Below are 11,289 nucleotides of genomic sequence, written 5' to 3' on the forward strand. Positions count from 1 at the left end.
ATTTTGGAGTGAAAAATGGAGAAGAGCACTTTACTTTGATTGCAATGGGGCTGAATAGCTCCCTGAGCCTCCCAGTGTGGGCCCACGAATACCGCTTTGGAGGCAGGAGGCATGCAGTTCCTCTGCTACCAATGAGTATCAGAAGAGGAGCTACTAGTAGGTCAAGTACTTCGACTCAATAGGAACTAGGGGCTCTTAGGTTTTAGACATATTTGCCTATCTCATCTGTGTACAGTAGTTTCACATGTAATGGTTGCAATAGAGGTATAACCATTTTCTGAAAGGAGGGCTTGAGGGAACGTGCTCTTGCCCTCCTGTTCTATAAACCCTGGTGAGTTGGGGCTGAACCAAGGTGTGTGTGGAAACTAGGCCAGGCTGGGCTGAGTTGCGTGGAGGGAAGTGGCCTGGGCTAGAGTGGTAGGGCAGCAGGGGCTGGAGCCCAGTGGCGGTGACCTGGGTGCTAGGCAGTACTGTTTCCTAAAGACAAAGGCTACTCACTGTCCTCCCCCCATCCCTTGCCCCTAGACTTCATTGTCTTTAGAATAAAGTTGGGCATTTGAGAGTTCCACAAACCATCTGGCCCCAGATTTTCTCTCTGCCCACCCCCTCCCTCCTTTTGAAATCCTTTTCATTCATAGAAGACCAGGCTTATACTCTTCCAGCAAGCCCTTCCTGCTGACCCCTCTCCATCCCTTGCATATTCCTTATATTAGAATACTGGAATATGAAATATTGGAGCCCATATATTTCATTCTACTTTGTAATGCAGTTAGTTGTTCATCCCCTGTCTCCTCCACTCAAGCAAAAGAGAAGGGATGGAGACCAAGGTATCTGTCTCCCTCACTGTTTCCTCAAGGATCTTGGCATAAAAACCAGATACACACATAAAATTTGACTTTATTTAGAATATTTAAGAGGAATATACCAAGGATAGAATAACAGCACCTATTTAAGAAACACAAACATCACTTAATAATACTTAGTTAAATCACAAACATCAATTTCTCCGCATTTCCCAAGCAGGAGTCCGTTATTCCTTTCCAGCAAAAGAAAAAAAAAGGCATTGTAACCATTTTAGAAAGGATCCAATTAAAGCCAACCAATATGTGAAACCTTGGCCTTGGGCAGAATCTCTGGGACTGCTGGCCCATGTAATAGTGTTGATTTATGAATTTGATTGGGGTGTGAGTGGGATTCTCTTCTTGTTGAGGGGAGGAAGATAAAGCCTACCTGTTTTGTGCACCTGAAGGTAAGTCGTGCCAATGGGAACTTGGCCTCAGGACTGTAGTTTGACAATCCTTTGAGAAGGCACTTTTCAATTACAAATTCTTACTGTTTTTAAAGAAAAATGAAACTTTTAAATTCAAACGTTAAAATATTAAAGAGAACTATTTATTGATTAAATACATTTTTCTGTTTTCAGTTTCAAAGCAGCTCACAAAATTTGGTATTAAAGGCAGTTTTAAAAACAATTTAATGAGGGTATATATAGTTTTTTAGTTGTAATATTTTGTTCTGAAAATATAACAAAATCATCTTATAGTTTTCTTTTCTTGTCTGACACAAATTCCATTGATACAGTACTGTAACTATCAAACACCGTAGCTGTGACCCCATAGAGGAGTCCCACTACCTCTCTATCTAGTTAGCCATCCATGCTGTCTCTATCTTGTCTCTCAGACAACCAACCAAAGGGGGAAAAACAGAGCAGCCTTTTTCTGGGTTTTGCTACTGCTTTAGGAGGGCATGGATGGTCACATTATGGATCTGCCAAGCGCGAAACCTGTCAGTTCACGGTCAGGTGTTGGTTGGGTCTTCAGGGTGCAGTATTCTTTTCGTCCTGCTAACTGGACTCTACTTGCCTATCCTGGAGTCCTTCCTTTTTAATGGAGAAGGATGGTCTTCTTTGAGTTTGCATTCTATATATTCAGTGAATAGAAAACAGGCACACCAGTGCCAAGTGTGTTGTGGAAAACTGTCAGCAAGGACTTCAGCCACGATGATTAGTTCACACTAATGACCAATTGTACCAGAATAAGTCCTCACCTGTCATATATCATATTAGGGATTTAAGGAATGAAAGGCAACACTTCCTGCAACCCCACCTTGGCACTATTTTACATATCCTGTAGTATATACTTCAAAAATAAATTTAAAAAACAAATGTACCATGTTCTACATCAGAAACTGACTAAGTTGTAGGTCACACATAGAATTTGGCATGCATTTTATTAACTAACTTTACAAGTACATACTACCTTTGAGGACAACACTATCTACAAACACAATCTAATATCTAGCACCGTATCTCCAAGAACACTTACATTTTATATACAGTTATAGTTTACATTTAGGAGAATTACTACAAAAAATACTACATCACTAAAGATGAAAATACCAAACTTTTAACATTAAAGTTGTAGCACAGATGAAGAGGGGGGAAAATCCACTCACGTTTGAAACATCAAACTAAAACCAATCTTGTTTTTCTCTACATTTTAGAACAAGACAGATAGAATAATTATTCCTCAGACATAGTAAACCTCCTGCTGAGTGTCTAAGTCACTGTGGTTTTCCCTTGGTGTGTGTACTCTGAGATATGGAGGCTTTGGGAGGCAATGATGGAAACACTTGACACCTATTAGCAACCTTCGTTTACCTTGAGGATTCTTATTCTATTTACCAAAGAGCAGTGAACTTGTCAGTGACCTGGCAATCTGTGGCCAGGTTCAGTGGATTTTAGCTTCACTGTTTCTTCCTCTAGCCAGTTTTGTTGCTTAGGGCAAAAGACTGCTGTAAGCAAGCTGGGCATTTGACGTAGAGGAAGAGATCATTGCTAAGTAATTGGAAAGAATTTATGACAAGGATTTCTCTTCTTTTTGGATTTTAGACTATCGCATTTGCTGTTTCCAGCTCATTGCTTCTGTCTCCTCATGCCTTAGCTTAGAGGGGCTTTGAGGGGCCGAGAGCACTAGTCCAGCCCATGGAAAGTAAGAGGAAGAGATAAGGAGGGAGAGGGTTAAAAGCCATTGAGTGGCCAGATTTTCTCTCCTTATCTTGGCCACTGGCTAACAGCTAACTGTTCCTGTAATCTTTTGTCTGGTCTAGAAGGAAACGGCATTTTGCTTAGAGAAACCTCTCCTGACAGCGTGAGGTCTTTCTTAAAGAGGAATACAACAGAAAAGACATTATGAGGGGAAAACACGTTATTTTTTTCCTCAAAATATTGGGCAGGGTGGTTATGAGAGAAAAATACAGTCCAGTAGTTTAAATTGTTGCTCATTGTTTTATCCCAACAACCCATGAGAGTTTTATCTTGAGAGTCCAAATTACCAGATGATGCGTATTTTTTTTCTTCCAAATGATGTGTTTCAGACACTTTTAAAAGCTTTTTTGGCAAAGTCTAAGTAAGCCTAGTTTAATCATGTAAATTATTCTTCAGGTAGTATGAAAAAATCTTCTTGAAGTAACTTTACCTAGCTTAATTGGCTAATTATATATAAAATAAGGCAATGTTAGGCATCTTATAATTCTGTAGGTGAAACATTTTTTAGTGTTCTATTTTTGCTGAAATAATTGGACAGTATCTACAGTATTGACTATTCCCCCAATGATGTGTAATATCGAGTGCTTTTTTGGTAAAAAATTAGGTGCCTACCTTCTACTAAATAATAACTGGCACTTTTCCTTACCTGTTGAATTTGAAGTAGGTATCCCGTCATCTCTAAATTGGATTGGAGTTGGGTAGGAGACAGAAAAATACCTTTCATTGCTCCTATGGCTCACTTCTCTCCTTCCCTGCTTCCATAGGCCCCCAGGTCCCTGTGAATCTGTCAGCTCTGGGTTGGGAAGGGATGGATGGGGAGTAGGTGAACACGCAGAGCTTCAAGCATGGACTATTCCTGAAGGGCCAGTGCAGCAGAGGGAGAGGGAGTGAGGCAGGTGAAGGCAGTGGGCTGATGGCAAGAGGTAGGCAGGGAGCTGGAAGTGCAGAGGCCTTCCAAGCAGCTGGTACTTGTGGTGTCTCAGAGAAGTGGGACCCTAGCATCACAGAAGTCACAGAAGCCCAGGGCTTGCTCCTTATTACTGCCTTCCCAAGCTTGTGGAAATTGGTGTGTTAGTCAAAGCACCTGCGACTTCTTGGCAAACTAGATGCTCTATTATTCGTAAATAAGGAAAATCATTAAATTTAAAATCACATCATTTCATAGTCTGGTTTGTCTGGCCCCTGTACTTTAATGGGATTTTTTTTTTTTTTTTTACTGCACATATGAAGTGGCCTTGGCAAAAGAATACATCCTTTAAAAACATTCAGGGAAAGCTATTGCACATGAGGATCTGTGAGGCTAATGATGACTTTTTTTGTGTGCTTTCAGATTTTCAAATGACAAAACAGTATGTGCAGTAAAACCTCATTAAGTTGATAGTGCTTTATTCAAAATAGCAAAAAATTTCGAGTACTTGCTATCTCCAAGCTAACCATAGGCCTTATTGTTCATTTAGAAGAAAATGTCATCAAAGCAGAATGCTCTTAATTAAAAGGTCCTCTTTTCCAGGCTCATAGTTTCAAAAGGTCTTCACTTTTGAGGAATCCAATTTACCAAAATAATGGACAATGACTAAAATAGGGAAAAGAGGAACTTCAAAAAGGAAAGGGAATCTCAGTGCCCTTGAGAATGTTGTGTGTGCTGTTAAATGGACTTACCATACTTGTACAGGTTCTGGTTCCATTTTGATTTGAGATTTTGGCAAACAATTTTCTCTGATACACTTTGAAGGGGGTGAGCTTTAAAAATAAAACAAGAAGTTCAGTTTTAACACAATGTTTGGAGACATTTATGTTTGAAATCCTGTTTCCTACCCAAGTAAGCATTTCTACTCAAAGGATAGGCTATAGCTACCTTGAACTCCTTTGACAATTTGAACAGACCTGAAGGCACTGCCCCTCCCCTGTAGGAGGATTGATCACATAGGCCATTTCTTCACCCAGATATCCTTTAAGGAAAGGTCAGTTCAAGAGTTTGGCAATAAATTGGTAGAACAAATTTATGACTGTTAATTCACTTTATGCATTTTGGTAGAAAAATAAATGATAGTGTAAGGGTAAACTTTAGCCCCCATGCCTTGTCTGAATAACTACAAGTTCCAAATTAATGGAGTTGGAATTAATAAGGTTATCATGGTATTTTTATTGGATGGGTCAGCTCTATATTATTTGGTTCTATTCCCTCTACTTTCCTAAATTCTGAACATGGCAATCCCAAATTCCCATGCAGAGTTATTCACAGTCCAAATACATTGCTGTTTACCCCTTGAGAAGTTCATGTTGAAATCTGTGAGGAGGAAGAGATAAAAAAAAATAAATGAGCTGGGCATTTATTTAAATGAAACTTGAGTTCTAATAAAGGCATGACAATCACACAAGAATGAGGCTAAACTCTGAAGATGGTCATCTTACATCATACAACTACCTGATTAACCATTTTCAACCAAACACTCCCTCCACCCATATTGACAGTGGATTTCTGCATGAACAGTTGGTTGACTCTGGAGTTGCTTTAACTTGTTCTGTAGGAGGATCAAAAACACTGGCTTGACTGTTTTTTTGGTTCCATGTTACTTGGTCACATACATACGGCCCATGCCCTCAGAAATGTATATGTATATCCCTGCCCAAAGTTATTTTGCGGTTTGGGATTTGAGGAATGTTCCTGTGAATTGACCCTAGGGATAATTTAGATATTGTTAAAGTTTTCCCAACGTGATTTATTTCAACAGCATTAATTAGGATATGTCTGATCTGAATGCTCTGATTTTAGGACTGTTTGGAATAGGTTACATGTTTTCTAGGTATTGTGAAATCATCCTCTTTGTCATTTCTGACTCTCTGATATTTCTCTTTCACATCTGCAGAGAGCTTAAAAGCTTTAAAGAGAGCCACAGGTGGAAAAGACACATGGGTGTGCCTGGAGGAAGAAAAATGTTCATTCTGCCTTCCTTGCTCCCCATGTGGAGATCACATTTATTGTCTATGATCTCATGGACACAAAATATATTTCTGATGAACAAATTATTCCTCAGTGACATCATGAATTTTGTAGGACTTAGGCCACTTCTAGTTGAATTTCTTTTTTTCTGTAAATACTGTTTGACTAAAAAAGGCTTATTTGACAAAAACAAACCAAAAGAAAACAGAAGTGTTGGCAGAGATCTGAAGAATTCCCACCAGCATCTCAATTCAGTCACATAAGGGAAGTTGTAAAATAGTGGCATGATTTCTGCCCCACTATTATTCAAACAGGAGACAGAAAATATTTGTGTCAATTGACAATTTACACTTAATGACCTCAGTTCCAGCCCATGCATAAACCCAAGATTTTATAGGAAAAAAAGTCAACTGTTTAGCTCTCCAGATGTGTGTTATTTCTCAATCTTTTCCCTTGGACTAGCTTCCCATTTCATACATGTCCTTCTACTTTTCTGGATCCCTTTAGGGGATCTAGAAACCTTCTTGAGATTCTAACTGTAGGAGGCCCTTTGTTTTAGTTTGTGTAACAGTCTTTGCACCCGACTGTGGGGCTGTTCAGTTCAGAATTTGGCTCATATGTTGATCAGTCCATTAGGTTCTGTTTCTTGGGCTCCATGAATGATTTGGTCCATTGCCTTTCTTTCAGTTGAACACAAGCTGTAGCTCTGGCCCATGAGCTCCCGACCCGAGGGCCGAAAAGTCCTTAAGTTCACAAGCATCATCTTCCCTTTCCTTCAGAGCTAAAGTTGGCATGTTGTAGCTCTGGAAAAGATAGAATACCAACTACAAGTCCAAAATGGATAGCCCTTGTTGCTTTAAGAAATGTAGAGCCTAATAATCTTTGGGGGGAAAATTTCAGTCAGAATCCTCAAGTCCATGCTTTTACGGAAAGACCCCAGTTCCTGCCTCTTCTATATATTTATCTACCTTGTGGTGAAGAGCATGTGTGTGCAACACCTTTGCCTGAAATGGTATGGTTTGGCATTAATGAATTGTGGGTCCATTGAAAAGAAATCTCCTCTTGTTTCTCGTGTTATGGACAGTTCAAGGTTTGCCTTAGAACTAACTTCAAGGAAAAGTAGCAGAATCGTAGGAAGGGACAATCTTGCCTTCAGTCCCACCCTCTGTTCCGGGCAGGTCTGGGTGGCTATCTTCTTTCGGGGGCTTTTCCTTGCAGAAGAACTTCTTCAGCATGTCCTGGATTTCCTTCTTAATGGTCTTGTGCATGTAGCCATAGACATAGGGGTGGATGCAGCACTGCAGGAAGAAAAGCCAGATGATTATGGTGATCACCCACTGGGGTACCTGGGTTTCGACATCCACCCACACGGCCAGGACTGCTAAAAAGCAGTAGGGCCCCAGGGATAGCACATAGGAGAAAATGATGATGAAGATCACTTTAGCAGCTTTGCACTGGTAGCACCTGGGCAGAGGAGGGTTGCTGTTGCTGTTACGACGACTGGGTGGGAGGCTCTCCGGGATGTTCACTGCCTCGACGTCATCCTCACTGAAATTGATGTCGTCTTCACCAAACTCCATGTCATCTTCACCCAAGTCAATGCTGCACTGGTTGACCTCTGTGCGACCCTTGTCTGCCTTCATGCTGTTCTCCTCAACTTTGGTGCTGCCTTCCTTACCCTCCATGCTGCCGTCGCTGGCCACCGTGCTGCTCTCTCTGACCTCCTCGCTGCCCCTGGCCTCTACACTACTCTCACTGGTCCCCGTGCTTCCTTCCTTGGCCTTCAGGCTGCCGTCCTTGGCTTCCATTCTGCCCTCCTTGGCCTTGACCTCACCTTCATGCTGGCGGCGAAACTCACTCTCATCCTGGAACTCCTCCTTCTTCTCTGCTCCCTCTTCATCCTCATTCTCCACACAGTCCTTGACTCGCACTTCCAAGCTGTGTCTCTTGACATTGTACAGCAGAGCATGCTGCCTCCGGGCTGCACAGAACACCACGGAGTAGCAGGCAATCATGACAATCAGTGGAATGACGATGAAGGACACCACGCTGAGAATAGTGTAGCTGGGGCTGGCCCCCCAGATCATGGAGCAGAGAGCATTGCGCTCATCAAAGGCAGCCTGGCCCCAGCCGTAGAGTGGAGGAGTGCTCTGCAGGATGGCCACAATCCAGGTGCCATAGAGGAGCAGGTAACCGCGGCGCTGGGTCATCTTGGACGGGTAGGAGAGAGGGTGGATGATGGACAAGTAGCGATCCACTGACACCACGACAATGGTGTTGACGCTGGCGAAGGCGAACAGGTGGGTGAGGCTAACCAGGGCCGTGCAGAAGTGGCTGTTGAGGGGCCAGAAGAGAGGCACAGAGGTGGCCACCACCCAGGGGGCCACGAGCGAAATCTGCAGCAGGTCGGTGACGAGGAGGTTAAAGATAAAACGGTTGGTCACCTGCAGCAGCTGCGGCTTGCGCTGCAACACTAGCGCCAGCACTATGTTGCCGACGAAAGAGGCGGCGAGGAAGATAACCAGCACGGTTGAGCGGATGATGCCGTGGGCCAGGCTGATGGGCATTTTGGAGAGGGGCATGCACGTGTGGCTGCTGTTACTCTCGCGCGTGCTGTTGGTGCAGGTGGACGTCATGGCAACAGCCAGAGGGCGTGAGACAGGTTGCAGGCTCAGTGCCGGCACCGGTGGGTGGCAAAGGGGTGCACAGACCGCACTCAGTGCCTATGCTGGTGACAAAAGAAACACGCAGGCAGAGTTAGTCACCCGTCAAGGGGAGAAGCCTCCGCGCCCAGCAAGGACGCTGCAGGACCCCCTACCCCGGGTTTCCGCACGGCTCCATCCCCAGTGCGGGCAGCTTCTATGGCTCCTTTCCGGACTCTCCAGATCTGTCTGCCTGTCTCTCTCCAGGGCTCTGATTTCCTCTCATCTGTTTCTCCTGCTGGCGCGTGCGTGCGTGCGCTTTCTCTGCTTGTCTCTCACACTGTCTCTGGCTCCGGGGAGTTTTGGTCGCTAGCGCTAGCGCATGCGCGTGCGCTCTCTGTTTCTGTCTGTTTACGACCGTCAGTTTCTGTCTCTTCTCCAGTGTCTCTCGCTAGCGCACTTTTTTTCTTTATCTCTCGGGTTGTGTGTCTGTATGTGTCTCACCGTTTCCTGATTCTTTCTCATCCTTGTCTCTCACTTATGTCTGTCTCTGTTTCTCCGTCTCTCGATAGCACGTGCACGCTGTCTCTTTCCTGTTACTCTCATTTATCTCTTCCACTCTGTTTGTCACTCAGTCTCTCTGTGTGTGTCTCTTTCGCTAGCGCACTTTCTCTGCAGGGCTTGCGCTCTCGCTCCCTATCTTTCTCACAGTCTTGCCCGTCTCTCCCTCAGTCTCTTTCTGATCCATTCTGTCTCTCTGTGTCTCTGCCTGTCACTGTGTCGCTCGCTAGTTCATGTGTGTCTCCGTCTTTCCCTAGTGCTCTCTTGTCTCTCCATTTCTCTCTCAGTCTATTTCCCCAGCAGTTCATCTTTGTGGGTCCCTAGCGCACCTGTTCAATGTCGTTCGCTGTGTCTCTGCCCGTCTCCGTGTCTCTCCAACTCTCTTGTTTCTGCGTCTCCCTCGGGTTCTCTGGGTGTCTCCTTCTGTCTCTCACTGGCACGTGTGCGCTTGCTCTGTCTTTCTCGGACCCTCTTGTCTCTGTGTCTCTCCGTGTGGTTTCTGTCTCTCCCTGCCTAAGTTCTCTCTGCATTACTCTGCCTCTCTCTCCATTGATCTCTAACACTCTACTGCTTGTCTCACCTGTCTCTCAAGCTATCTCTTTAGTGTGTGCACTCTCTCGTTGGTTTCTCTGTCCTTCACTTTCCTGTCACCCCAGGACTCTGGCTAAACACTTGCTTTGTATCTTTGAGTGTGTGCGCATCTCTATTTCTCTACATCTTTTTCCCATGGCCCCTCACCTTGGTTTTTCTCTGGCTGGATCTCTGTCTCTTTGGATCTCTGTCTCCCTGTGGACTTTATTTTGCCGTGGAAACCACCTGCCGCCCCGGCCACCGCGGGCTTTGGTTAAAAAACCCTTAGTTTATCAGCAGTGCAATGGAGACTGGAAAATGCAGAGAGGATGCCTATTGAGCTCCCCTACCCTCACCCTCCACAGCCCCATCCCCATTCCCAATTTGGCATCCTCTTTGCTTTCTCCGGATCTGCTTGGTGTCGGTGACAGCCGAGGGGAGTGGGAAAGGAGCTGGGGAGAAAGGCAAAAGAGGCAGGGGTGCAGGGTGGTGGAGAGAGTCAGAAAGGCAGGGCGAGAGAGACTGAGAGGCAGAGAGACAAAAAGGAAATGAGAGACAGCGAAAGAATGAGATACATACAGAGAGACAGAGAGAATGTGAGCAACAGAGAGGGAGAAAGAAAGAAAAAAGAAGAAATGGGAGCGTGAGAGTGAGAGAGAATGAGAGAGCAAGACAGACTGGGAGAGACGCAGACAGAAAAAGCAAAAAATAATAAGAAAAGAGAACAAGCAGAGGAAGAGGGAAAGGATGAGGAAAAAACGAGAGAATGGAGAGGAAGGGGGAAAAGAACGCACGAGAAAAAGTGAGAGAGAAAACGCGAGGGCGGGAGGATGGCTAGGGAAAGGCGAGAAGGGGCCGCACCGCGGGCCACCGCGCCTGGTAGCTCAGCAGCCGTCGGGACGCTTCAGAGGGGGCGTCGTGGGCTCCCAGGCTCGGGGCCCTGCCGGGTGCTGGGGGCCACGGAGCCCGGAGTAGGGCCGGGCTGCTTACCTGTTGCTGCTGCAGACGTGGCGTCGCGGGCGCCGCGTGCAGGTCCTTCGGGGCTCCTCGCGCTCGTCCCGGCCGCCTCTCGGGGCTCGGGCGGCTGCGAGCTGGCACGGGGCAGCGGGCGCTGCGGGCGCGGCAGGAGCGGGGCACAGCGTCTGTGCCCGCACGTCCGGCCAGCGCGCCGCGCTGCAAGCTCTGAGAGGCAGCGGGGGCGCGCGGCGTCTTAAGGCAGCGCGGTGCCCTCACCTTGCGGTGCCGCCCTCCCCTCGGCCCCCGCCTGCGCCCGTGACGCACGAGGCCGCCGCAGCCCAGGGAGCGGGGCTGGCAGGTGGGGGGCCGTGCACCAGACCCCACTCAGATTTTCTCACTCCGGGTTCCCACCCCTGGGGCCCCGAGTCCACCGAGAGCTCACAGACTGGGGATTGTCACCGGGGCTGATTTTCGTGCAAACCCCGTGCCTTCCTAGCCCCCTGATTTCGGGCCAGCTCCCAGGCACAGACCCTGCACTATCCTTCCGATTCTTCCAAATAGGAGGGCCCGGG

The 11,289-nt window shown here is 46.1% G+C and overlaps 1 protein-coding gene across 1 annotated transcript, besides 2 other annotated features; it reads right to left on the reverse strand.

Moving 5' to 3' along the window:
• Positions 878-10,944, reverse strand: GPR101 (G protein-coupled receptor 101). The gene is made up of 2 exons (NM_054021.2): positions 10,751-10,944; positions 878-8,715 (listed from the first exon to the last, which is right to left on the reverse strand). The coding sequence occupies exon 2, from the start codon at positions 8,621-8,623 to the stop codon at positions 7,097-7,099; it is 1,527 nt and encodes a 508-aa protein (NP_473362.1). The 5' UTR covers positions 8,624-8,715; positions 10,751-10,944; the 3' UTR covers positions 878-7,096.
• Positions 7,956-8,500: an enhancer, noted in NCBI's record as "H3K4me1 hESC enhancer chrX:136113166-136113710 (GRCh37/hg19 assembly coordinates)". NCBI's record gives its function as "activates a minimal SCP1, AML or CMV promoter by ChIP-STARR-seq in naive H9 embryonic stem cells {active_cell/tissue: H9 hESC(naive)}" and the evidence as "EXISTENCE:reporter gene assay evidence [ECO:0000049][PMID:30033119]".
• Positions 8,501-9,044: an enhancer, noted in NCBI's record as "H3K4me1 hESC enhancer chrX:136113711-136114254 (GRCh37/hg19 assembly coordinates)". NCBI's record gives its function as "activates a minimal SCP1, AML or CMV promoter by ChIP-STARR-seq in primed H9 embryonic stem cells {active_cell/tissue: H9 hESC(primed)}" and the evidence as "EXISTENCE:reporter gene assay evidence [ECO:0000049][PMID:30033119]".

Source organism: Homo sapiens, chromosome X (assembly GCF_000001405.40).
Source record: "Homo sapiens chromosome X, GRCh38.p14 Primary Assembly".
NCBI classification, from domain to species: Eukaryota; Metazoa; Chordata; class Mammalia; order Primates; family Hominidae; genus Homo; species Homo sapiens.